The 26,863-nt window shown below is 36.9% G+C and overlaps 1 annotated feature.

The window, feature by feature from the left end:
- Positions 12,198–12,277: an enhancer, noted in NCBI's record as "active region_23364". NCBI's record gives its function as "activates an Ori minimal core promoter by ATAC-STARR-seq in GM12878 lymphoblastoid cells {active_cell/tissue: GM12878}" and the evidence as "EXISTENCE:reporter gene assay evidence [ECO:0000049][PMID:35858748]".

Raw genomic sequence — 26,863 nt, forward strand, 5'->3', positions numbered from 1 at the left:
AATCTAACCTAACAAATCTTACTTCAAATTGTGCACTGTCCTAAAGAAGACATGCGAGGAATGCAGTGTTCTCTGGTTGTTGAAACATATGCATTTCAAAATCAAGGAAGCCTTCAGTATGCAGAAGTTGTTAGCTTTCTTGGCCCCTTCCTCTTTTGAGCTACAACCATTCTCTTCCATTCTACATTCCGGTAAAAATGCAAGTTGTCCATGCCTTCTAAGCTTGTGAAGTAAAAGAAGATGTGGATAATGGGAAAGCCTTAGTATCACGAAAATGAATGACTCCATAAAGTTCCAGTGGAGGTAATTAAAATGAGAAATGTTTGCATTTTGTGAACTACATGTGCTGCCCAAAATAAAATTAGGGGTACACTCTTGAATCCTGCAAGAGGAACTGATCCCAGGAAACTTCTTACAGTCAGTAGGGTGGAAACTGCCCATTCAGCTTGGTTATGGGCTTGTGCACTCGAAAAGGGGAGATAGTGAGCCCTTTAAGCAATAATACCTTATGTTGTGTGCATTTTGTAGTTCAGAAACATTTTTACATCCACTTCATCATTTGATTCTCACAGCAGTCTTAAGAGAGAGGCAGAGAAGGATTATTATTATAACCAATCTACAAAGAAACTGGGACCTACAGGGATGTGTAGTGGATATGTGATGCTGTTGCTGCCAAATGCCCCTTTACCCAGCTGCCAAATGCCCCTTTACCCTTCTCCAAGTTCACGTCTGGGGAACATCTGCTCTTGTTTTGAGTCCATGTGCTTATAGAAGATGTAACAACATAATTGATTACTCTAAGGATGGGGCATGTGAATCAGAGCCTTAAACTCTTTAGGTCTCACAAATTTCTTTAGGGATGGGCCCATAGACTTGGTTAGAGCTAACGAGATGCAAGACTTTTATTTATTGGTAGAGTGATGTGCCCACTTTCCTTCTTACCCTCACGTGATGTCTTGGAATAAAGTAAACATATAGGATAATAGAACTAGTAGAAAGAGAAAGGCTTGGTTCAGATGAAATCATTGATTTTCCCATCTTGGAGCAATTACATTTCCTTTTTTATTTTTATTTATTTATATATTTTTCGAGACGGAGTTTCACTCTTGTTGCCCAGGCTGGAGTACAATGGCATGAACTTGGCTCACTGCAACCTCTGCCTCCCCAGTTCAAGCAATTTGCCTGCCTCAGCCTCCCGAGTAGCTGGGATTACAGGCATGCACCACCATATCTGGCTAATTTTGTATTATTAGTAGAGATGGAGTTTCACCATGTTGGCCAGGCTGGTCTTGAACTCCCAACCTCAGGTGATCCACTCACCTCAGCCTCCCAAAGTGCTGAGATTACAGGCGTGAGCCACGGCACTGGGCCTACATTTCCTTTTTTTTTTTTTTTTTTTTTTTTGAGATGGAGTCTTCCTCTGTCGCCCAGGCTGGAGTGCAGTGGTGCAATCTTGGCTCACTGCAAGCTCCGCCTCCCGGGTTCACACCATTCTCCTGCCTCAGCCTCCCGAGTAGCTGGGACTACAGACGCCCACCACCATGCCTGGCTAATTTTTTGTATTTTCAGTAGAGAAGGGGTTTCACCGTGTTAGCCAGGATGGTCTCGATCTCCTGACCTCATGATCCGCCCACCTCGGCCTCCCAAACTGCTGTGATTACAGGCATGAGCCACCGCGCCCAGCCTTTTTTTTTTTTTTTTTTCTGACATTAACTTGAGCTGGGTTTATAGGCGTCTAAAACCGAAGAGTGATTCAAAATGGTTACGGTGTCCATGGCCCCATAACTTCACTTTACTTATGAGTGACATAGCTCTCTAGCTGTTATTTGGCATCACCTTTCTGCATTCGTGTGTGTTGTCGATTGGTAACTTTCCTCCATATTTTGGGGAGAAAAGTGAGAGGGTGGAAATGTTTCCAACTTCTTTTTTTGCCTCTAAAAATTTCTGGCCACTAGCCAGCCAGTGGATTCCACGCTCATGGTTCAAGTGCACACCCCCTTCCTGCCCCAACCCACAGTGGCCAGAATGCGAGGCCAGAGTGCAGAGATGGGGAAAGGCCAATGGGTGATAAGGCACAGGATATAGCCACTTGAGCAGCAGAAGCTTAGAAACGTCAGCTCCCTTAGAAAGAGGCTGTAGGCACAGTAAATCTTTCTATAGCACTAGTGCTTCTCAGTGCAGCCTCAGATATCCACAAATTCTTAGGCATCCTATGATAATGCTACAATTTTGCATTTGAATTTATCATTCAAATGTTTCTCATGCTTGGGTTACCTGCATGACTACCTTATGAGATTTCAGTGTTTGTATTTGTTGTATTTGCAAACAAATTGTATCCAAGTAATAGTACTCAGTTGTCATGAGTTAATGAAGAAAAAGGAGGCAATCTTAATGAAAAAGTGATACACTTGCATCATGTGAAAGTCAGATGACATCATGGATCTTCGTGGGACTAAAGCTTTGCAACAATGCCCACAGAGAAAGTGTGATGAAAGAACTGAGGCTCAAGAGTGAATAGACAAGTCAAACTCCAAAGAACCTCGCTAGACTAGATGTGAGCAGAGAATTCCTTTTAGCCATGTGAGATTATCCATCACAATTAATTTGGCCACTTAAATTTTAGTTGTTTTATAATTTTATTCATAGTACATTTAACTAAAAAGTTATTTTGCTACTTTGGTTATATACAACTATAAAATGAATGATTTATTCCTACTTTTATGTTTGTGTATGTGTAAATAACATTATAATAAAAGGGACATATCAATGATGGGGACTATGAGAAATTTCTTTTTTCTTAAAGGGGCTGGTCAGTGTCTCAGACTTGAAAACCACAGTGGTATAGTGTCTCTCCCAGGACTACCTGCTTTCTTCTGGCTTTCTTCTTGTGGTTTGAACCTTATAATACTCTTCCTCTTTTAAGCCACTTTATTAAGGTAGGATTGACATGCAAAAAGCTACACATATTTAATATGTACAACTTGACGAGTTTGGAGATAAATATAAAGCAAAATTTTTCCCCTCTCCTCTTATATATTATTTGTATGTATGTGTGTGTGTATGTGATAAGCTCACTTCATATAACATCTACCCATTCAGCAAATTTTTAAGTATACTATACAGTATTGTTAACTATAAGCACTATGTCGTGCAGTAAACCTTTAGAACTTATTCATTATGTATCACCAAACCTTTGAAACTTTCAACTAACACCTTCTAATATGTCCTCTCCTCAGTCCCTGGCAACCACCATTCATTGTCTGCTTCTAAGAGTTTGACTATTTTATATTTGTTGTATAAATAGTGTCATGTTGTGTTTGTCATTCTGTGTCTGGCTTATAATACTTAGCATAATATCCTCCAAGTACATCCATATGTTTGCAAATGGCAGGATTTCCTTTCCATTTTAAGGCTGAATAATATCCCATTGTATACATACATCACATTTTCTTTTTTTTACATACATTTTTTATTATACTTTAAGTTCTGGGGTTCATGTGCAGAACGTGCAGGTTTGTTACATAAGTATACATGTGCCATGGTGGTTTGCTGCACCCATCAACCCGTCATCTACATTAGGTATTTCTCCTAATGCTATCCCTCTCCTAGCCCCCCACCCCCCAACAGGCCCCAGTGTGTGATGTTCCCCTCTCTGTGTCCATGTATTCTCACTGATCAGCTCCTGCTTATGAGTGAGAACATGTGGTATTTGGTTTTCTGCTCCTGTGTTAATTTAATGAGAATGATGGCTTCCAGCATCATCCATGTCCCTGCAAAGGACATGAACTCCTCCTTTTTTATGGCTGCATAGTATTCCATGGTGTATATGTGCCACATTTTCTTTATCCAGTCTATCATTAAGGGGCATTTGGGTTGGTTCCAAGTCTTTGCTATTGTGAACAGTGCCACAATAAACATATGTGTGCATGTGTCTTTATAGTAGAATGATTTATAATCCTATGGGTATACACCCAGTAATGGGATTGCTGGGTAAAATGGTATTTCTGGTTCTAGATCCTTGAGGAATCACCACACTGTCTTCCACAATGGTTGAACTAATTTACACTCCCACCAACAGTGTAAAAGCATTCCTATTTCTCCACATCCTCTCCAGCATCTGTTGTTTCCTGACTTTTTAATGATGGCCATTCTAACTGGCATGAGATGGTATCTCACTGTGGTTTTGATTTGCATTTCTCTAATGACCAAGTGATGATGAGCTTTTTTTCATATGTTTGTTGGCTGTATAAATGTCTTTTTTTGAGAAGTGTCTGTTCACATCCTTCACCCACTTTTTGATGGGATTGTTTGTGTGTGTGTGTATGTGTGTGTGTGTGTGTGTGTGTGTGTAAATTTGTTTAAGTTCTTTGTAGATTCTGGATATTAGCCCTTTGTCAGATGGGTAGATTGCAAAAATGTTCTCCCATTCTGTAGGTTGCCTGTTCGCTCTGATAATAGTTTATTTTGCTGTGCAGAAGCTCTTTAGTTTAACCGGATCCCATTTGTCAATCTTGGCTTTTGTTGCCATTGCTTTTGGTTTTTTAGTCATGAAGTCTTTGCCCATTCCTATGTCCTGAATGCTATTGCCTAGATTTTCTTCTAGGGTTTTTATGATTTTAGGTCTTATGTTTAAGTATTTAATCCATCTTGAGTTAATTTTTGTATAAGGTGTAAGGAAGGGATCCAGTTTCAGCCTTCTGCATATGGCTAGCCAGTTTTCCCAACACCATTTATTAAATATGGAATCCTTTCCCCATTTCTTGTTTTTGTCAGGTTTGTCAAAAAATCAGATGGTTGTAGATGTGTGGTATTATTTCTGAGGCTCTGTTCTGTTCCATTGGTCTATATATCTGTTTTGGTACCAGTACCATGCTGTTTTGGTTACTGTAGGCTTGTAGTATAGTTTGAAGTCATGTAGCGTGATGCCTCCAGCTTTGTTCTTTTTGCTTAGGATTGTCTTGGCTATGTGGGCTCTTTTTTGGTTCCATATGAAATTTAAAGTAGTTTTTTCCACTTCTTTGAAGAAAGTCAGTGGTAGCTTGATGGGGATAGTATTGAATCTATAAATTACTTTGGGCAGTGTGGCCATTTTCACGATATTGATTCTTCCTATCCATGAGCATGGAATGTCACATTTTCTTTATTCATACATTTGTTGATGGACTCTTAGGTTGCTTTCATGTGTTGGCTGTTGTGAATAATAATGGAATGAACATGGGAGTGCAGATATCTCTTCAAGATCTTGATTTCAAATCCTTTGGATGCATACCCTAAAGTGGGATTGCTAGATAATAATGGTATTTTCATTTTTCATTTTTAAAGAAAAGTTTATACTGTTTTACATAGTGGCTTTGAGAACATTGTACAAGGTTCTTTATTGTCTATTACACATCCTCACCAACATTTGTTATCTGTTGGTTTTCTGAAAATAGTTGTCCTAACTAGTTTGAGGTGATATCTTATTGTGGCTTTGATTTACATGTCCCTGATTAGCAATGTTGGAAATATTTTCATATACCTGTTGGCAATTTGTATGCCTTCTCTGGAGAAATGTCTATTCAGGCCCTTTGTCCAATTTTTAAATGAGTTATTTTTATTATTTTTTTGTTTGTTGCTATTGAGTTGCAGGAGTTCCTTATATATTTTTGACATTAACTCTTTATCAGATATATGGCTTGCAAATATTTTCTCCCATCTGTAGGCTACATTTAACAATTCGTTAACAATTTGTTAATTGTTTCCTTTGCTGCACATAAGCTTTTCAGGGTGATGTAATCCCAATTGTCTAATACTGCTTTTGTTCCCTGTGTATTTGGTGTCATATTCAAGAAATTATTGCCAAGATTGATATCTAGAAGTTTTTCCTCTGTGTTTTCTTCTAGAAGTTTTATGTTTTTAGGTGTTACATTTAAGTAGTTAACCCATTTTGAATTGATTTTTGTGTATGGTATAAGATAAAGGTCCAATTTTATTCTTTTTCAGGTGGATATTCAATTTTCCCAGCACAATTTGTTGAAGAGACTATCCTTTCCCATTGTGTATTCTTGACTTCCTTGTCAAAGATCAACTGATCAAATATACATGGGTTTATTCTGGGGTCTCCATTCTATCCCACTGGTCTATATGTTTTTGGTTTTTGTTTTTTATGCCACAGTACCATACTATTTTGATTGCTGTAGCTTTGTAACATATTTTGAAATCAGGAACTTCCAGCTTTGTTCTTACTCAAAATTGCTTTGACTCTTCAGGTCTTTCCTGGTTTCATATGAATGTCAGGATTACTTTTTCTATTTCTCTAAAAAATGTCATTGGAATGGTAATAGAGCTTGCACTGAATCTATAGATTGCTTTGAGTAGTGTAGACATTTTAACAAGATTGATTCTTCTAATACATAAACATAGGATGCCTTTACATTTATTTGTATCTCCTTTAATTTCTTTCATTGGTGTTTAATGGCTTTCAGTATATAAGCCTTTCACCTCCTTGGTTAAGTTTATTTCAGAGTATTACATTATTTTTGATGTTATTGTAAATGAGATTGTTTTCTTAATTTTCTTTTTGAATAATTCATTGTTTATCTATAGAAATGCAGTTGATTTTTGTTAGTGTATAGAAATATGTGTTGATTTTGTATTCTACAACTGTGCCAAATTGTTTATCGATTCTAATAGGTTGTGTGTGTGTATGTGTTTGTCTGTGTAATCTTTAGGTTTTTCTACATATAAGATTATGTCATCTGCAAACAGTTAATTTTATGCTGTCTTTTTCAATTAGGGTATGTTTTATTTCTGTTTCTTGCTTAATTTCTCTGGCTAGAACTTCTAATACTATGGTAAATAGAAGTGGTGAGAGTGAGCATCCTTGTCTTGTTCCTGATCTTAGAGGAAAATCTTTCAGTTTTTCACCATTCACTATAATGTTAGCTGTGTATATGGAGTTTGTATATATGGACTTTATTGTGTTAAGGTAAGTTCCTTTTATACCTAACTTTTTGAGAGTTTTCATCATAAAAGGATGTTGAATTTCACCAAATGCTTTTTCTGCATCTAATGGAATAATCATGTTATTTTTATCCTTTATTCTGTTAATGTGATGTATCATATTGTTTGATTTGCATATGTGAACCATCTTTGCATTCCAGGGATAATTTCTTCTTGGTCACAATGTATGGTCCTTTTAATATGCTGAAAAATTTGGTTTGTTATTATTTATTTGAGGATTTTTGCACTCATGTTCTTTGAGGATATTGCCCTGTAGTTTCCTTTTTATCTGATATTTTTGTCAGCTTTGGTATTAGGGTGATGCTGACATCACAAAGAATTTGGAAGTGTTCCTTCTACTTCTGTTTTTTAAAGAGTGTAATAAAAATTCGTGTCAATTTTTTTAATGTTTGGTAGAATTTATTTGTGAAGCCATCTGGTCCTGGGCTTTTCTTTGCTGGAAGATTTTGATTACTGATTCAGTCTCCTTATATTGAATGAACAGTTAAATAGAAACAGTTATTGGTCTGTTTAAGCTTTTTATTTCTTCTTGATTTAGTCTTGGTAGGTTGTATGTTTCTAGAAATTTATCCATTTCTCCTATGTTGTCCAATTTGTTGGCATATAATTCTCACTAATAGTTCTCTATGAGCTTTCTTATTTCTTTATCTTTTTCATTTCATTACTGGTTGTAGTTGTCTCCTCTTCCATTTCTGGAACATGTTATTTTGGTAAGCCTTATCTCTTTTTCTCTTAGCCTAATTAAGCTTTTGTTGATTTTGCTTATCTTTTTAAATAACCAACTCTTTTATTAATGTTTTCCAATGCTTTTTTATGCTATATTTCACTTATTTTTTCTCTAATCTCCATTCTCTTCCTCCTGTTAACTTTGGGCTTAGTTTGTTATTTTTCTAATTTGTTGAGGTATAATGTTAGTTATTTATTTCAGGTCTTTATTTTTATGTAGGTGTTTATTATTATAAATCTTCCCTCTTAGTACTGCTTTTGCTGCACTCCATAAGTTTGGATATGTTGTATTATCATTTTCATTTGTCTCAAAATATTGTCTAATTTCCCTTTAATTTATTCTTTGACCCAATGATTGTAAAAGAATGTGTTTTTTGAATTTTCATGTACCTATAAATTTTTCAGTGTTGTTTTTGTTATTAATTTCTCATTTCATCCTATTGTGGCTGAAAAAATATTTCGAATGACTTGAATCTTAAATTTTTTAAGGATTGTCTTATGGTCTAGCTTGTGATCTATGGTGGATAATTTTCCACGCTCACTTGAAAAGAATGTGTTTTCTGATGCTGTTGGATAGAATGTTCTGTATATTGCCATTAGGTCCATTTGGTCTACAGTATTGTTCAATTCCACTGTTTCCTTATTGATTTTCTGTCTGAATGATTTGTCCATTACTGTAAGTGGGGTATTGGAGTCCCCTGCTATTGTTGTATTGCTGTCTATTTCTCCATTCAGGTCTGTCAATGTTTGCTTTATATGTTTAGATATTCTGATATAGTGTGCATATATATTTATAATTGTTATATCTTCCTGTCAAGTTGATTTTATCATTATGTAATAACTTTCTTTGTCTCTTGTGACAGTTTGTCTTAAAGTAATATATTTTTCATCCTTTCACTTTCAGCTTATGTGTGCCATTACATCTAAAGTTGGTCTCTTGTAGACAACATATAGTTGAATCTTAAAAAAATTTCATTTAGCCACTCTATCTTTTGGATGGTGAGTCTATTTACATTTAAAGTAATTGTTTATAGGTAAGAGCTTACTATTGCCATTTTGTTGGTAATGTTCTGTCTGTTTTGTAGTGTTTTTGTTCATTTCTTCTTCTCCTACTATTTTCCTTTGTTTGATGATTTTTTTTATAGTGATAAACTTTGATTGTTTTCTCTATCTTTTCTGAATCTGCTACAGGATTTTTTTGTGTGGTTACCATGTGGCATGTATAAAACTTATTGTTATAACAGGATTTTTTGAGGTGATAACAACTTCAGCTGCATATGAAAGCTATAATTTTACTTCCTCCTCCCACACACTTTATGTTATTAATGTCAGAATTTACTTTTTATATTTTGTATTAATTAACTATTTTTTGTGGTTATAGCCATTCTTAATACTTTTGTCTCTTAATGTTTACTCCAAGGTTAAAAGTGATTTTTGCACTACCATTATGACATTACATTATTCTGTATTTGTCCATATATTTACATTTACCAGTGAGATTTATACTTTCATATGCTTTTGTGTTGTTTAGTGTTCTCTCATTTCAACTTGAAGGACTCTATTTAGCACTTCTTGTAAGGCAGATTCTAATGGTGATAAACTGCTTCAAGTGTTTGTTTGTCTGGGAAAGTCTTTCTCGCCTTCATTTTTAAATAATAGTTTTGCCAGGGTTGGCAGAGTTTTTTTTTTCTTTCAGCATTTTGAATATATTACCCACCTTCTTCCTCACTTTCAGGAAGGTTTCTAATGAGAAATATACTGATCATCTTCTAAGGGTTCTCTTGTATGTGACCAGTCATTCTTTCTTTGCTGCTTTCAAAAGTCTCTTTTTATCTTCGAATTTCAACAATTTAATTATAATGTGTCTCAAGTGTAGACATCTTTAGGTTCAAACTACTTAAGATCCTTTAAGCTTAATGAATTTGAAAGTTCATTTTCATCCTTAGAAATGTGAAGTTTTCAGCCATTATTTCTTGAAATAAACTTTCTTCTTCGTTTTCTCCTTCTTCTCTTTTTTAAACTACTGTAATGCATATATAGTTTTGTTTGATGGTGTCCCATAAGTCCTATAGGCTTTTTTCACTCATTTTCTTTGTTTGTTTATTTTATTCTTCTAACTGTGTTATTTCAAGTAAACTGTCTTTGAGCTCACTGATTCTTCTCCTTGATTGAGTCTGATGTTGAAGCTGTCTATTGAATTTTTTTAGTGTGTCACTGTGTCCTTCATTTACAAAATTTCTGTTTGATGCTTTTTTATTGTTTCTATCCCTTTGTTGAACTTCTTATTTTGTTCATGTATTGCTTTGTGATTTTATTTAGTTGTCTATCATGTTCTCCTGTAGCTCACCGAACTTCTTTAAGATAATTATTTTAAATTATTTGTCAGGTAATTCATAGATATCCATTTCTTTAGGTTCATTTACTGAAGTTTTTTTTTTTTTCCTTTGGCAGCGTCATAGTTTCCTGATTCTTTATGATCCCTGTAGCCCTGCATTGGTGTCTATGCATTTGAAGAAGTGGTCATCTCTTCCAGTCTTTACAGATTCGTTGCTTCAGCAACGAAAGCCTTTCACCACCATGGTCGGAGACTCTAAGCAGACCAACTGGCAGGGTCCGTGGGTGGGCAGACCTAGTGGCAGAGTCCATGGATGGGCCTACTGCTAGAGTCTACAGATTGATAGGTGTGATGCCTGAGTCCATGGGCAGGTGGGCCTAATGTCTTGGTCTAAGGCAAGCCTGCTGCCAGGATACATGGCAAAGTCAGATACTTACATCACTCTCCCTTTCCCTTATGAAATAACCCACAGGCTGATGGAATCTTCCTCAGTGCTGTGCTGTGTTGGCTTGCAAGAGAAGTGGCGTGGGTAAAGTGTAACTATTCTTACTCTCTGAAACGTGTCCTTTCTTTTTCTGTTCTTCACTTGAGTGCTGTAATGTCTTACCTGAAATCTAGAGATCTCAGGAAGGTATTCTTGACTATGGGTGGATGTTAAGTCCACGTTTCTGTAAATGAATAAGGGCTGGAACCTTCTATTCCATCATCTTGCTAACATCACTCTGTAATACCTTTCCAATGGGGCTTCCTGTTTGGGGTCTCTCTACCTCTTAATCATTCGAGGTAAGAACTAATCTTACTTACATACTTTCTTCATGTCAGTCCTAGACTCAAGAACTTCTGATAGCTTTAATATGACTATCAAATATAAGTTCAAACCTCTCTTTCTGACATTCCAGGTCCTGCCACTGGGCTATCACACCTGCTCTGCTTTCCTCACCTATGGTTTGTACCCCAGTCATTTGGATTCTCTTATTGAGACCCAGAGAAAACCCTGTGCCTTCCTGTTCTTTCATCTTTGCCCTTGCTCTTGACATTGCCTCTCTATTGTCATTCATCTCTTTAAATTATTCTCAACTACTTCAAGTTCTACTTACATTACCAAATAATCTACAAAAAGCCACTCCATAATAATTTCAGCCCATAGCAACCTATATTCTATTTTTCTTTTCATAATACTTAGTAGGAGTTCTCCATATTTCTATATTTGATTTTCTTCAATGTGTATGTTGTCTGCTAATATTATCTAATGTTTCAACTGCAAGTTCTGTTCTAAAAAGTCTCAGGATTTCCTCCTGTGCATTTTAACTCTGAGTAAGGTAGGCAGGATGCCTTGCATTCAGCTTTATTGTCCAGAGAGATGAAGACAGTTCCTGAAGGTACAGGTAAGCAAAAATAAGATAACACATTTTATTGAGTGGGTACGTGTGTGTATTTTCAAAAATGTCATAACCATTATAAAAAGAAAACTGTCTTAAGCCACAAAATATTTAATGGAGTAAATATGTGAATTATACTTTTTGTTTATCTCTGGTCTTAACTGCCATCTCTGCTAAGAAAAAAAAACAAAAACAAAACATGATTTTCTTTGTATTACATGATTTGATAAGAGTCTCAACTGAATTTTCATCTTAGAGTCAAAGCTTTTCTTTGGCATACTTATATCTGGTGCCTTAAGGATCTAAAAGTATGAGGCTAAACAAACTCCCTGCCTCCCTCCCTCCCTCCCTCCTTTCCTTCCTTCCCTCCCTCCCTTCCTCCCTCCCTTCCTTCCTTCCTTCTTTCCTTCTCTCAACAAATATTTATTGAGCCATCACCATATTTCAGGCTATGTACTAGGTGTTGCTGATATAACAGCAAGCCTATTGGACATAATCCCTGTCCTAATAAATTCATAGTCAAATAAGCACTCCTGTTGAAAAACTCAGCTGTATACGCTGACCAATCAAAACCTCAATGTCTTTAATTTTCAGCTAATATAAGAAAAATACTGTTGAGAGAGAGAGAAAAACAATGTATCCTATTTTATCTCTCAACTCATAGTAATTCCTGTTTCTTTAATTCTTGGTCTTCAAAAAAAGAAAGAATTGTGGGTCAGCATTTATCATGCATCTATAAGAAGTGGGCAGCACCCTCATCAGCAGTGCTAAAAGATGTGCAGTGATTCCCTCTCAAATGGAGCCACTGTAAGAAAGTAATTATGTTATGTGAATCACCTGATTCTGGCTGACCTACAAGTCACAGTAGTCCTCCCAACTTCTTCAATGCTAGCACAAAGATCAGTGGGTAAGCCTGGCCCTAACCACACATAGTGTTCTTGACCACAGTGTTGGTTTCACAGGAGTGCATGTAACCTCTTCTGGGCCAATCAGAGCTCTTCTTTGAGATTTTCTGCTTGGGAGCAGAATGAGAGTTTTTACTTCACCCTCTAGGTTCAAGGAACAGAAAAAATGCAAGCCTAAATTTGCCTGCTACCTCATTGTCCAAGAGATGAAAGATATCCACTACATTTGTAAAGAATGAAATCAACCCTCAGGGGGGAAAAAGAGACCTGAAAGAAGAGGAGAAAAGAAATGTCTCTAGGACATCATCTGAGCCCCTCAATATGGCTGTGCTTAAAGCCAAACCTAATAAATGCCATATTTTGCATAAGCTAGTTTGGGTTTAACCTCATGTCATTTGCAATTAACAAACGTTAGCAGCTTCTTTGGATTATTAATTGTTGCTTGTGAACGTTTATTAAAGGATATGTTTCCTAATGCTTACTTATTATTTAAAAGAAAACATGTGTGTCTATGTGTATGTATATATGTACAGGTATATGTATGTGCTTTCTTCTGAGCACATTAGAAGCAGGCAAAGAGGGATTCTAAGGGGAGCTTTAAGCCTTGAAAAGTATAGCTTCATCATAGATAAACAGGGCCTATCATGTCATTCAATGAAGCAGGTGAGTTAATCCACTTGAAGAATATTTATTGAGCAGTTATCTTTTCAATTTTTTGAGTCTACTAGAACAAACATGCCACATTTTTTTTACATAAAAGGCACATACCATATATAATATTTAGGATTTTTTTCTAGTCACTTAACAATATATTTTAGAGCTACAATAAAACTCTACTTCATTCTTCCTTTATGGCTTTTTACTTTACTACTAAATAAATGTTTTATATTTTAATAGTTGTCTATGAATGGAAAACTATTATTTTTAGTTTCTTGCTGCTACACAAAAGTAATTATGATAAATGGTCATGTAGGTATATCTTTGCTCTCCAAAAAGTTGGGCATTTAGAAGTTGAGCAGATTTTGCCCAATTCTTGCTCAAAGACCTTTTACCAAATTGTACTCACACCCACGGTGTATGAAAGTGAATCTCTGCACCCTTGGCTATGCTATATTGTCGTTTTTTAAATCTTCATCCATCTTATGGATGAAAAAAAGATATTTCAATGTTCTCATTTACATTTTTAAAATTATTCATGAACCTGATTATTTTTACAAATTTGGAAGCCATTTTATTTATTTTTCTGTGAATTGCCTGTTCATATTATTTATGTAATTTCATTGTTTTTCTTCCAAATTTGTCATAGCTCTTTAATATTGAAAACAAGTTCCCTCTGTTCATTTTTATGTGTTGCAATATGCTCTTGCTTTATTTGTTTATTTATTTATTTACTATGTGTATGGTATAATTTTCTACATAGCAGTTTTTGTTTTTATTTTTGAGACAGGGTCTCACTCTGGTCGCCCAGGCTGGAGTGCAGTGGTGTGACCTCCCAGGCTCAGATGAACCTCCCACCTCAGCCTCCTGGGTAGCTGTGACTACAGGTGCATGTCACCACATGCAGATAATTTTTTGCATTTTTAGTAGAGTTGGATTTTGCCATGTTGCCCAGGCTTGTCTCGAACTCTTGGGCTCAAGTGATTTGCCTGCCTCAGCCTCCCAAAGTGCTGGGATTACAGATATGAGCCATCCACCTGGCTAGTTCTTAATTTTTGTATCTGTAAATGTATCACTCTTTTTATAGCTGCAGTTTTGTGCCTTGTTTTGAAAGAATTTTCTCACTCCAAGCAAGACTTAAAATAAACACAGTATATCCACATTTTCTTTTAGTACTTTTATTAGTTCATTTGTATATTTAAAATTTTTATCATGATGGAATTTATGTGAATAAGAAAAGAATTGAATTTTATGTCTCCTCAAACTGTTCATGGTATAATTCTTCCTTTTCCATTGATTGTAAATACTATTTTATTGTATATTTAATTACTAATATATTTGGGTGTATTATTTAGTGGTTTACTATTTAATATGGTCCTGTCATTAATAAAGGCAGGTAGAAAACATCAAAGTAAAATGTACAAGCAAGTCAACATTGCTTCAAGTGCCATAAAAGTAGAAAGGCAAACAAATTTTCAAATATATGTTTTTTTCTTTACATATTTCTTCTTGGTTCTGATTACTCTCTTACTTATCCAACACTACAATGTTTCACATCTATTTTCTCATTTCATCTTAGGAAAGTGCTGCTATTTCTCTATCTTACAGATGAGGGAAACAGGTCTCAGAGAGGCCTTGTGGTTTGTTTCAGGAAACCTGATGGTAAGTAGCAGAGCTAGGAGTTAAAATGAGACTTTCTGATTTTAGGTTTCTTGTTGAATTCCAAGATTTCTTTTAGAAATCAGCCATCGCATAAATTACTCATGAATGACAGTCTCCCAATCTATTCCACTTTCTAGTATACCTGGCTTCTATTACAGTGAGTTTCCTTACAAGATCCTCAATTAGGCATCATTTTTCACCTGAGAAAAAATAAATCTTAAGTTGTGACAGTCAATATTCAATAAATAGCTGCTAAATGAATTAGTCCTTCAGTCCACCTCCCACTTTTTACGGAAAAACTGTATCTTCAGTGGGAACTTATCAATTAGAATTTGTCTTCAAAAGAAGAGTCTCTTGGGTTACTATATTGGTCCACAAACATTAATATTTAAATATTATCTCAAAAAATAGAGAATTTTGATTTTCAAAAGGATCTCCTACTCTCATTCTTATACCTTCAAACTTTTCAATGTGGTTGGAGATTTTTTTGTACTTTTTCTTACAGTTGAAATCCCCTGAGATTCAAAATTGATTATATGATCAAAAGTATTTCTTATTAGTTTTTCAACAGCCATATCTCACAGCAAAAGCCAAAGTAAGTCACCAAATCCTGTGAGACCTCCTGAGGCAACTCTCAGGTTTTGCCTTGGTGCATTGGCTGATATGTGAAGAAGCAGAGCTTATTTTCTTGACAAGTGGATTTGTACAATTTCAACATGAAGAATTATTCAATTCAACTTTTGACCTAGGTCTTTCCACACATTTCAGGGAGTTAGTTACAGAAAAAATTACACAAAAGAATGTTGAAAACTTTCTAGCAAGTAGAATAACAGCAATGTAAAATATAGTCATATTTACCAGAAGAAGTCAAGAAGACACCCAAGACCTTCAGGAGTTAGTGTGCAATAAGCGTTCTTTTAATCACTCATTCATTCATTTATTCATTCATTTGACATTTCAGATAAACCATGAACAAAAATGAATATGATATCTGCCTATATGCAGCCTACATTCTGATGGAGATTTAGGATTACCATGTTACAATTAATTTTCTGTTTGTTCCATTAATTTTTTGTCCTTCTGTTTTTCCTTTCCTGCTTTTGAGTTAGTTTAATATTTTTTAGAGTTTCATTTTAATTTTTCTATTACCTTTTCAGCTGTCCCTTTTGTGTTATTATTGTTGCTCTCCTTGTTGTTGTTATTCAAGTGGTAGCTATAGGGAATTTCAACATACATTTTTAATGTTTCAATCTCCTTAAAGTTATTGGTGTGCCACTTAATGTTAAATGAACAAAACTTGCAATCATATAAGTTCATTTACCTCCCAACACTGGTCTTTATGCTATAGTTGTTATTTTTTATGTATAGAAATGTTATAAGCCCCACAATTCAATCTTACAACATTTGCTTTACATAGCCATATGTCTTTTAAGAAAATTAAGAAAAAAATTGTTTTAAAAAATATTTACCTACACATTTATCATTTCTGATATTCTTCATTTCTTACAGAAGAAACATGTTTCAATCTGGTGTGATTTATCTTCAGCCTGGAGAACTTTTGAATTTCTTATGGTATTGTCTGCTGGTGATGAATTCTCTAGTTTTATTTTATCCGAAAATATCTCTGTTTCATCTTAATTCTTAAAGGATGATTTTACGGGATACAGAATTTTAAATTTAAAAGTTTAATTTTTCTTTTTTTCTTTCTTTCCCCTTTTTTTCTCTTTCTTCCTTTCTTTCTCTCTCCCTTCCTTCCTTCCTTTCTCTCTCCCTTCCTTCCTTCCTTTCTCTCTCTTTTTCCTTTCTTTTTCTCTTTCTTTCTTCCTTTCTTTCTTTCTCTTTCTTTCTCTCTTTCTCCCTCTTTCTCTCTTTCTCTCTTTCTTTCTCTCCCCTTCCCTCCCCTTCCCCTCTTCCCTCTCCTTTCTCATTTTACTTTTAGCACTTTCAAGATATAGTTCCATTCTCTTCTGGCACCTATTAGTTCTAATGAGATGTCAGAGAAAATTTATAATGTTCTGCCATGAAATCTGCCATTTTTCTCAGGCTAAATGCAAGATTTTTGAATCTGTAAATTTATTTCTTCAAAGATTTTTTTCCCTTCCAAGCTATCAGTCCCTTTTTCCTGGGATTCCAGTTTGGCACAATCATGGCTCATTGCAGCCTTGACCTCCCAGATTCAAGCAATCCTCCCGTCTCAGCCTCCCAAGTTGGGACTGCAGGTGCATACCAACACATCTGGCTAACAAAAAAAAAAAAAATTGTAGCAAAGGAGTCTCGCTATGTTGGTCAGGCTGGTCTTGGTCTTGACTTCCTAGCCTCAAGCAACCTTCCTACCTTGGTCTCTCAAAGTGCTGGGATTACAGGCATGAGCCACCATGCCTAGCCATATTTGCTTATCTTTTTTATGTGGTCCCACAAGTCACAAAGGTTGTATTTAATTATGTTTAGTCTTTTCTGCTCTCTTTTCTTCAGGGTGTATTATTTCTTTTGCTCTGTCTTCAAGTTTTCACTGGCTGCTCCTTCTGTCATCTCCCAACTGCTGTTAAGTTCATCCAACAATATTTTATTTACAATATTGTAATTTTCTCCTCTAGAATTTCCAGTTTTTCATAATTCATTTTTCTTTTGTGAGATTGTTTATTAAGATAATTTCCTTTCTTTCTTTTTTTTTTTTTTTTTGGTGGCAGCATCTCACTCTGTCACCCAGGCTTAAGTGCACTGGCATGATCTCTGGCTCACTGCAACCACCTCCACCTCCCAGGTTCAAGGGATTCTCCTGCCTCAGCCTCCCGAGTAGCTGAGATTACACTCATGTGCCACCACACCAGGCTAATTTTGTAATTTTTGGTAGAGATGGGGTTTCATTATGTTGCCCAGGCTGATCTCGAATTCCTGACCTCAAGTGATCCGCCTGCCTCGGCCTCCCAAAGTGCTGGGATTACAGGTCTGAGCCACTGTGCCTGGCAGAGACCATTATTTTTCCTTATATCCCTGAGCATGGTTATAATAGTAGCTTGAAATTTTTGTCTACTAATTCTAACATTTGAGTCATCTCAGAGTCAGTCTGCTTTTCTTTCAAGTGTAGGTAACAGTTTCCTGTTTCTTCATATGTCTAGAAATTTGTATTGAATCTAGAATATTATGAATGACATATTAGTGAATCTGGATTCTGTTATGAACCTCTGTTAGTATTGATTTTTAATTTTAATAGGCAGTAAACTTGTTTAAACTCAGACTCTAAATTCTGTTCTTCTAGTAGTAGGCAGCAGTTTCAATTTCCAATCTGTTAACTTAGGTTCAGTCTTGCATAGGCATATTTCAGGCTCAACCAGAGATTAAGACAATGTTTTTATGCAGAACGTAGCATTCTCTGTGGCTCTCTCATTTCCACATTTCCTCTTTCCCTTCTTACTCCTGTGGTAACACCAGTCTGTGTCCTCTAGTTCTGAAACCATCAAGATTAAAAAGTTTTTCTGAGTTTTAGCATCCAGTCTCTGCCTGTTGGGGTCTGCCCTCAGGAAAAAGCCTTAAAAAGTAGGTAGCTCATCCAGTGCCCTTCGCTCTCCTGGTATGAACTGCTGCTCAGTTTCTGCTGGCTTTTGTTCGCTTTCCAGTGTTTTCAGGTTCATACCATGTATATTTTGTCCAGAGTTTGGAAATGTTATCTGCAGGAGGGTTGGGCTGATGGAAATTACTTCTCAATTATTCAAAACTAGTTGAAACTTCATTCTAGTGGATGAGACAAGCATAAATCAAATCGCTACTCAGATAAAGATAAAAATAGCAATTATGCGAAAGTGCTCAGAAAGAGAGGTACATGGTGTTGATAAGAGTTTATATTTTGATTCACTGATAGAGTTAGTCAATTCTTCATTGAGTTACTTTGATGATAAAATGAATACATACATGTACAATCCTTTAATGTACCTGGGACACAGTTAGCACTCAATAAATGTTAGCTATTATATTATTTGTATTTTCATTAGGATGATCAGGGAAGTCTTCTCTGGGAAAGGGGTATCTGACTTAGCTCTAAAGAGGAGTAGGAATCAATGTGGTCAAAGAAGGAGAAAAGGGTTTTCTTGGTGTAGAGAAAAGCACATGCAGAAACCTTGCAGTAGCTGAGAACAGACAGAAAGGAGGCAGTAAAGGCCAGCATGGTTGGCATGGAGTGGGTGAGGGGAGCATAGTAAAGAAGACTGGAGTGGGTGGAGGTCAGGAGGTCAGACCTTTTGGAGATTGTAGGCCATGTTAAATAGTTTAGTTTTCATCTCAGGAGTAATGAGGAGCCACAGATGTGCTTTAAGGAAAGAGGTAAAATGATGATATTTTTGTTTCAGAAAAAAAAGTTTCTGGCCACTGTGTGAAGAATGAAGTGGATGTGGGTGGAACGATGGAAGACTGCTGTAGGAGTCTAGGCAAGGGGTGAAAGGGTGGCAAGGCAAAGATGGAATTACATAGAACAGGTTGGAATGAGAGACCCAGAAGGGACCTAGATACAGGGCCACATTCTCTAAGATGATCCATAGACATCTTTAACTCAACAGGCCAAAACAGAATACCATTTGCCAACTTTCAATGACAGAAATTTCAGTAATTCCTGCTGCTTCTTGCTTTGTTACTCCCCAAAGTGAACTGTCCCCCAAGTCATAGAAATTCTTCCCCCAAGCCCTCCTGCATTTATCTACTGCCACTCATTGCAGAGCCTTGCTCTTACTCACCAAAGCGAGTGAAACAGCTTCCTAACAGATATCCCTATTTCCAGTCTCAACATTTTCTTATTTGTCCTCCAACCAGATCCAATACCATCTTTTCTAAAGACCCAATCTCATATGTTATCTGTGCTTAACAATCTTTCAGGACCCCTATTTGGTATAGGAGAAAGTTCAAATTCCCTAGCATGACATATGATGCTCATGACACATGGATCTTTCCTTTCCCTCTTTCAGCAAATATTTTTATGCGCCTTTATTTGCTGGAGAAAAAGGAGAAAATGTTGACAGACATCCTTGTGCTCATACTGCCATTAGTCTAATGGGAGAGACAGAGGCCAGTTTCAAATTCATCTTCCTCTACTTCTTTCTCTACCTACACTGGTCTTCTTAAATTTTCTTCAGCACATAGAATTTTTGTCACCATTAATCACTTTGTCTATTCCTTGGTATCTCTGAGCCTTTGCACATGCTGTTTACTCTTCTTTCCTCCTTCTCTTCTTAAGAAGACACAATTTTAATACCAATTTTTCTAACCCCCATACACATGGTACATCTTTTTTTTTTTTTTTACTTATTATTTCAAATTTCTATCAAGAATCTACTGCTTGGTGAGCAGATACTTTTGTAACTGTACTTAATACTTCATATTTCACCATTTCTCCTCTTGTCTCTTGCAGTAAACAATAAAATATTTGAGAGTTGGAAGCTGATCTGTTCGTTTTTGTTGTTGTTCTGTCATCTACAACATGGCCCAGCCCCAGTCAACAATCAATTGTTTATCGACTCTTTTAAAGCCATCTCATTCTACAGATGGGAAAATAAAAATGCCAAGAGGGGAAGTGACAAGCCTTGCGAAAGGTCTTGGAGTTATTTTAAGACTACTGTTTCTAAGTAGGGGGTTGTCAATATTTCTCTAAGTAATGTACTGGAAGGTTTCATGGAAGTGACAGGACTTAGGATGAGCTGACAAGTTTGACTAGGATTTGGGATTGTGGATATACAACTGGAAGCTGGTGGAAGTTGACCTGGGACTGAGGAATTTGGTCAGTAGTTTAATGACCTCTGTCAGCTGAATCTATGAGCACAGGTTACTAAATAGAAAGCAAAGGGGCTGTGGTGAACGAGTACTAACATGCAAGAGCAAAACTCTGAATTCTATTCCTAGTGCACACCTCACTGCGTGGTCTTGGAATAGTCCTGTCTTTTTTCTGGGTAGCAATTCTAATAAAAAGATACACAGCATTATCAATAATAACCACTTATATTTATTAAATCATTAATATTTTCTAAGTACTATTCTAAAACCTTTATGTTTTACAGATGAGGATACCTACTTTCAAAGAGTTGAAGTAACTTGGCCAAGGTTACATAACTAGTTAGTGATGAAGCTAGGAATCTTGCCCCAGGATGTTGGACTAGACAATCCAAATTCCAATTTAACTATAAAGACTTTAAAGGAGTTTCTGCCACAACAACCCTTGGACATCCTAGGGCTTATTACAAGAGTAACCGTCTCTCTTTTAAAGTAACCTATGCACCCAGCTTCCTCCCAGCGGGGTAGAATTTCTCACCTGGGAAGCCTAGCGATTATCTCTGGTTTGCACACACAAAAAACACATGGATCATTTGAGATTCTCAATTGGCTGTGATGGTAAATCATTATTTTTAAAAATAGATTCAGTACACAGAGGTCTTATCTGCATGGTTCTATATTTCACTGCTATTTTTTATCTTTAAATATTATTAATCATATGAGCAAGTTAGCAAAGCACTTTCACATATATTTCTTTCACAGTCAATACAATTGCCTGTTTTGGATGAAAAGACAGACTTATTCTGTGATTTTCTCAAAAGCACACAGATAATAAGTGGTTACATTGGTGTTTGAACTTCAAAATCTCTTCTTTGCAATCTTCCCATCTCCAACATGTGGTTGGCCACAGATACAGGTAAATTTATGTGAATCATCAAGTAATAAGAATCCCGACTTCCTTTGGCTGACTGCTTTGCTGCACTTTAGAAGCTCAGGTTGCAAAGTTTAGATCATTGAATTCACCATTCCTCCTCTTACTTCACCAGTTTCATCCTCCACTGTTTGGAGTACCTTTTTTTTTGTTTTTTTGTTTGTTTTTGTTTTGAGACGGAGTTTCGCTCTTGTTGCCCAGGCTGGAGTGCAATGGCCGACGACTCACCGCAACCTCCACCTCCCAGGTTCAAGCGATTCTCCTGCCTCAGCCTCCTGCGTAGCTAGAATTACAGGCATGCGCCACCACACCCAGCTAATTTTGTATTTTTAGTAGAGACAGGGTTTCTCCATATTGGTCAGGCTGGTTTTGAACTCCCGACCTCAGGTGATCTGCCCACATTGGTCTCCCAAAGTACTGGGATTACAGGTGTGAGCCACCATGCCCGGCCTTGGAGTACCTTTAATAGGTGGTAGTCCAGCCTCCAAAGGTAGCTGTGATGGTCAATTTTACGTGTCAACTTGTCTGGGCCACAGCATGCCCAAGTAGCTGGCTAAACATTATTTCTGGATGTATCTGTGGTGTTTCTGGAAGAAATTAGCATTTGGATTAGTGCACTGGCAAAGCAGATGGCGTTCCCCAATGTACAATGTGCGTGGGCATCACCCAATCCATGGAGGGCCTGAATAGAACAAAAAGGCAAGAGAAGGTGAATTTTCTCTGTCTGATTGCCTGAACTGGGATATCAATCTTCTATTGCCTTTGGTGATCCTGCCTCTCAGGACTTCAGACCCGACTAGAGCCTATATCATTGGCTCTCTGGCTCTCAGGCCTATGAACTACACCTTTGGGTTTCCTGGGTCTCCAGCTTACAGGCAGGAGAACATGGGACTTACCAGCCTCCAGAGTCATGTGGGCCACTATGTTATAATAAGTATCTTATAATATTTATAATATATATTATAATATCTTGTAACATACTATATTATAATTCAATTATACCTATATTATATTATAATAGAAATCATATAATCAGCCTCATCATGTATGCATACATGTATACATGTATATAGATATAGATACAGATACACACACACACACACACACACATATATATATATATTCTATTGATTCTGTTTCTCTGGAGAACCTTGACTAATACAGTAGCCCACCTTATCCCTGAGCAGCTTTGAAGTTAATATGAAGATTAATAACCTTCTTTTATTGAGTGAAATTTCCCTCCTGATATTACCACTCATTGATCCTAGCTCAGCCTTTTGCCTCTTCTCTCTAACAACCTCTCAGATAATTTATTTTGGTTCTCAACTTTGATTCTTTTCTCATTTTTGTGTGTGTGGATTTGCCTTGGTCTCAGCTTCCTCATTTACAAAATGGATAGATAGACTGGTCTCATGTGACCTCCATAAAGCTTTGATCCTATGATCCTATGGTATTATATTAATAAATGTCCAAATAATTGTACCCCAAAACAGAAAAGCTTGCTTGCTGCCAGGAATACTAAAAGGCAAATGTTCCCTAACATTTCGTTCATTGTATCTTTTCCTTTCTTTCATTTTGTTTGTGTTTTTCTGGAGATGGAGAAGATAGTCCAGAGAAGGTGGGTGGATGCCTGCTTCATTGTTGATGCTGCCATGCCCTCAGGCTAGGAAAAGATTTGAAGTGGTTAGAGATGCTGAAGGCCCAAAGCAGTCCCACCCTTTCCCACCTTGGCTTCCAGCTGCATTTCCAAATTACAGGGTGTTTTCCAGATAAAAATCCTGATTGACTGGCATTCACCCCAAGTCTCACACAGCCTCCTCTCTGGCACCTTCTCATAGATGCCTCACATACCCAAGTGTGTCTGTGACCTCTCCTCCACAATATTCTCTGATGAAGGGGTACAGCTTTTCTGCAATCTATGAAAATATAGAGAGGACCAAATGTTTAGAAAGCTTGTATAGACCCACACACACTGACTGGTGTGTGAAACAGTAACAACAATAAAAAATAATAACAAATAGCTACTTAATAATAAATACGTTCTAGCACTAGACTAAGAGCTGTATGTACTTTATCCTATTTATATCTCACAATAACCCTAAGAGATTGGTATTATTTTTCACCTTTTTGTAGTTAATGAAACTAAACTTGGATACATAGATCACTGACCCAGTGTCACACATGATCAATGGAGAGCCCAAATCCCAGCCCAAAGTTGTAAAACGATAATGCCTGAGCTCATCACACTATACAATACTGCCTTATTTTTAAAATTATGTTTTTAAATTTTTCCATCTGTTAATCACTGCTTCCCTGAAGCCTTCTAGGATGTCCTCTACAACTGATTTAGGGCTCTCCACTGTGTTTCATTGTATCCAGTGCATGGTTTTATGCTAATGCTTAGCACACTGTTTAAAATCTTCCATTTGTCTTTTTTTCACTCGTTTGTAGGCTACTTGAAGACAAAGACTGTGTCTCTTTGTGTTCACCTGCCTTTCTCCTACCACACCTTTCTTCTCAAATATGAGTGTTTAGGACACTCTTGCTCCAGAGGATTGTCAATAGCTCTTGGTTTTATGACCAAAATCAGAAATTACTGGGTGAGGAGATGGCAAACCCCACCCATCCCTTTCTAGGAATTGAGAGAATTAATTCCTCCGGGTGTTCCCAGAAGGGATAGGAGCTCAGATGCTGCATTAAGGAGAAGAAATGGTATGACTTAAGAGGTAGCTCCCCCGATATGAAGTAGTGTTGTGGTGTTTCAGGATTTTTATAGAAAACTTTCTGGAGTACTGACTGCTAAATGTCACTGGACCATGGACCTAAAACCATGTATTCTTAAGAAAAGCATGGGGAGTCTCTGTAACTGAGCTTAGGTTCAGTGCAGAGGAAGAGTATGGGGACCATCTCCGAGCCCATCTGGAGGACCAATGATGCCCAGCAGTATCACGTTCTGGGAACAACAGAAATGACAGTGATGAGCATCTTCAGCTTTCATCAGGACCCTAGCCTTCCCCATCGTCCATACCCTTTAAGCTCCAAAGAAGTGAATGCTTCAAGCATGACAGATTTCACTTACTATCAACTTTCATATATGGAGGCTGAGAACTTTAGTATGCCAAAATCATGGAGCAGATCTGTACCTGTTGTGTTTACATATGTATATCAGTGTATGGGCATGAAAACTTTCTGGGAGAACATGCAAGAAACTGCTGAAGGTGGTTGCCTCAAGGTAGAAGAATTAAGGATCTATGGGGAAGGGGAGGTGTGTTTTTCACTGGAAATGTTTTTATAATGTCTAAATGTTACATCAAGTGTATGTATTATTTGTATAACAATATAAAAAAGCTAATTTATATAATAAATGTAATGAAAGTTTATTTTTAAATATTTGGCACAAATTTTAAAGGATTGGAATTTGCATCAATTCTATGTAGAGACCCAGCCTGAGCTCCAGATGTGTTTTCTTTAGGATTCTAGAGGAGAAATTGTGGGGCAGTTCTACCAGAAGTTTATTTACACGGAACGCTAAAAAGTCTCCTGATAAGTGGATAAGAGAAGGGTGGAGGGAGTGATTCAGAATAATAGTGGCAATCAGAGAAATAAGTAACATTTAATGAAGGCAAAATACTAGATTCTTTACATGGATCATCTCATTTAAACAGTCCAGTGAAGCAGGTGCCATTATTATTCCTGTGGAAATTGAGGCTCTGAGAGTTTGAATAACTAGCAAATGGCAAAGTTGAGATTTAATTCCAAGCAACCTAAAGCCAGAGCCCAAATTATTTACTTGTGTGTTCTAACTCCATGTGAGTGGGGCACCCTATCTGATATGCAGATTCTCTTTCCACCCCAGCTGTCTTGATAGCATAACTACCTCCAGCAGGGACAGAGACAATCTGACAACTACCCATCAGGAAAAATGGCAGATCCCACTTGGCCACCTGGAGAGCCAGTTTTTGGATTACATGTGACATACTTTGGGAACTCTCAAAACTATCTGGAAAGAATTGAGAGTAACTGAGAGAACAGAGGGGCAGAGCCAGAGAAATGCTGTATTGTGGTTATTACCATGATACTATTTTTATTCCCAGTGGCCCAGGAAACAGTTTTACATAATAATGTTTAAAGGAAATAAGAAATGTCAAAGCAGGGGCTCCCTTCCCCCAAATCATAAGAATAGGATTATCTCAATTCCTACAAAGCAGAATTACCTGAAGTTTAACTATGAAAGAAGAAAAACTCATTTCCTGCAGAAGTTCTCAGCCTATTGGTGCTGGTGACACCTAGAATCAGAAGGAGTGGGGTTAAGAGAGGAGAGTCTACATCCTAATGCTCTATGACATCTCCTTGATGGTGGAATGGAAAGTTAGCTCCCTGTGCCCTGAGGCTTTGCATGTAGCTATGTAAATGGCTGCACTTTCATTCACTTATGTGTCTTAAGACTGATTCCCACAGAGAGTGAATACATTGAACGTCAAACTATCTAAACTGGAGCTAGAAAGGAATTTGAAGTTTATCTAGTTCAGAGGTTTTCTTTCTCTCTTTTTCTTATCTTTAAAAGGATCAGAATTCCCCTTCTTTTCTTTTTCCAAATGAGATCTTATGTAGAATTTTATCATATAAAGCAGATAAAGGATAACTGCTCTGGATGAAATGGGGGTCTCCTAGGCAGTGCCTGCTCATGTTCCCTAATGCCCAACCCCTACATCTGTGCCTTGTTGTGTTTTGAGATGGCTTAAAATAAAGGAGTCATATAATCTATTGTTAAAACTGAGACAGTTTTGAGCATATAAGGAGACCCTGTTAATAATTATGCTGCAACAACGGGTGTAAACTGGGACTATCATAAATAAATTAGAAAGCATGGAACCCTAGTTTTAAGGAATATAGTATGAAAACTGTTGGCTCAGTCCAAACTCTGCATGTAAGGGATGAGGACTCTAGGGGAAAGAACTTGCCCAAAGTCACATAGTGACTCAGTGCCAAAGCTAGGGCCAGAATTCAGGACTCCTGAGCTGGAGGACAACAGTTCATCATGCCTCTCTACTAACTTGACAGCTGGATGAGCCCCCATGACTTGCTCCAGTAGGGAAAATCAAGGCCTGATGAGAGCAAGGAAACTCCACAGCAGATGATCCATCACCTCTGTCTAATCCACTGGATCTGGATCCAGATGTTCCACCCCAAAATAAACAAACCAGTAAAAGAGTAAATATTTTTTCTAAAAATTGAGTTGGTGTTGGGTTCCCTAACCTCAGTTATCCCAGTATTACCTTTGTTTTTCCATGACACTGTACTATCTGTACTATTATTTATCTCAGTGTTCTTCAAGTCAATTCATTTTTTACTCTCAGATATCTCTACTTTAGCCTTACCCAAAGCAGTAAGATTTGTGATGTCACGGAGCCTGTATGTTAGTTATATTCTCTCTAAAATTTATTAAAATACACAAATAACCATTAAGATATATATCTATGTACCTCTAAAACTATCAATATTCTACCTACAATATGCC

Source organism: Homo sapiens, chromosome 5 (genome assembly GCF_000001405.40).
Source record: "Homo sapiens chromosome 5, GRCh38.p14 Primary Assembly".
NCBI lineage: Eukaryota > Metazoa > Chordata > Mammalia > Primates > Hominidae > Homo > Homo sapiens.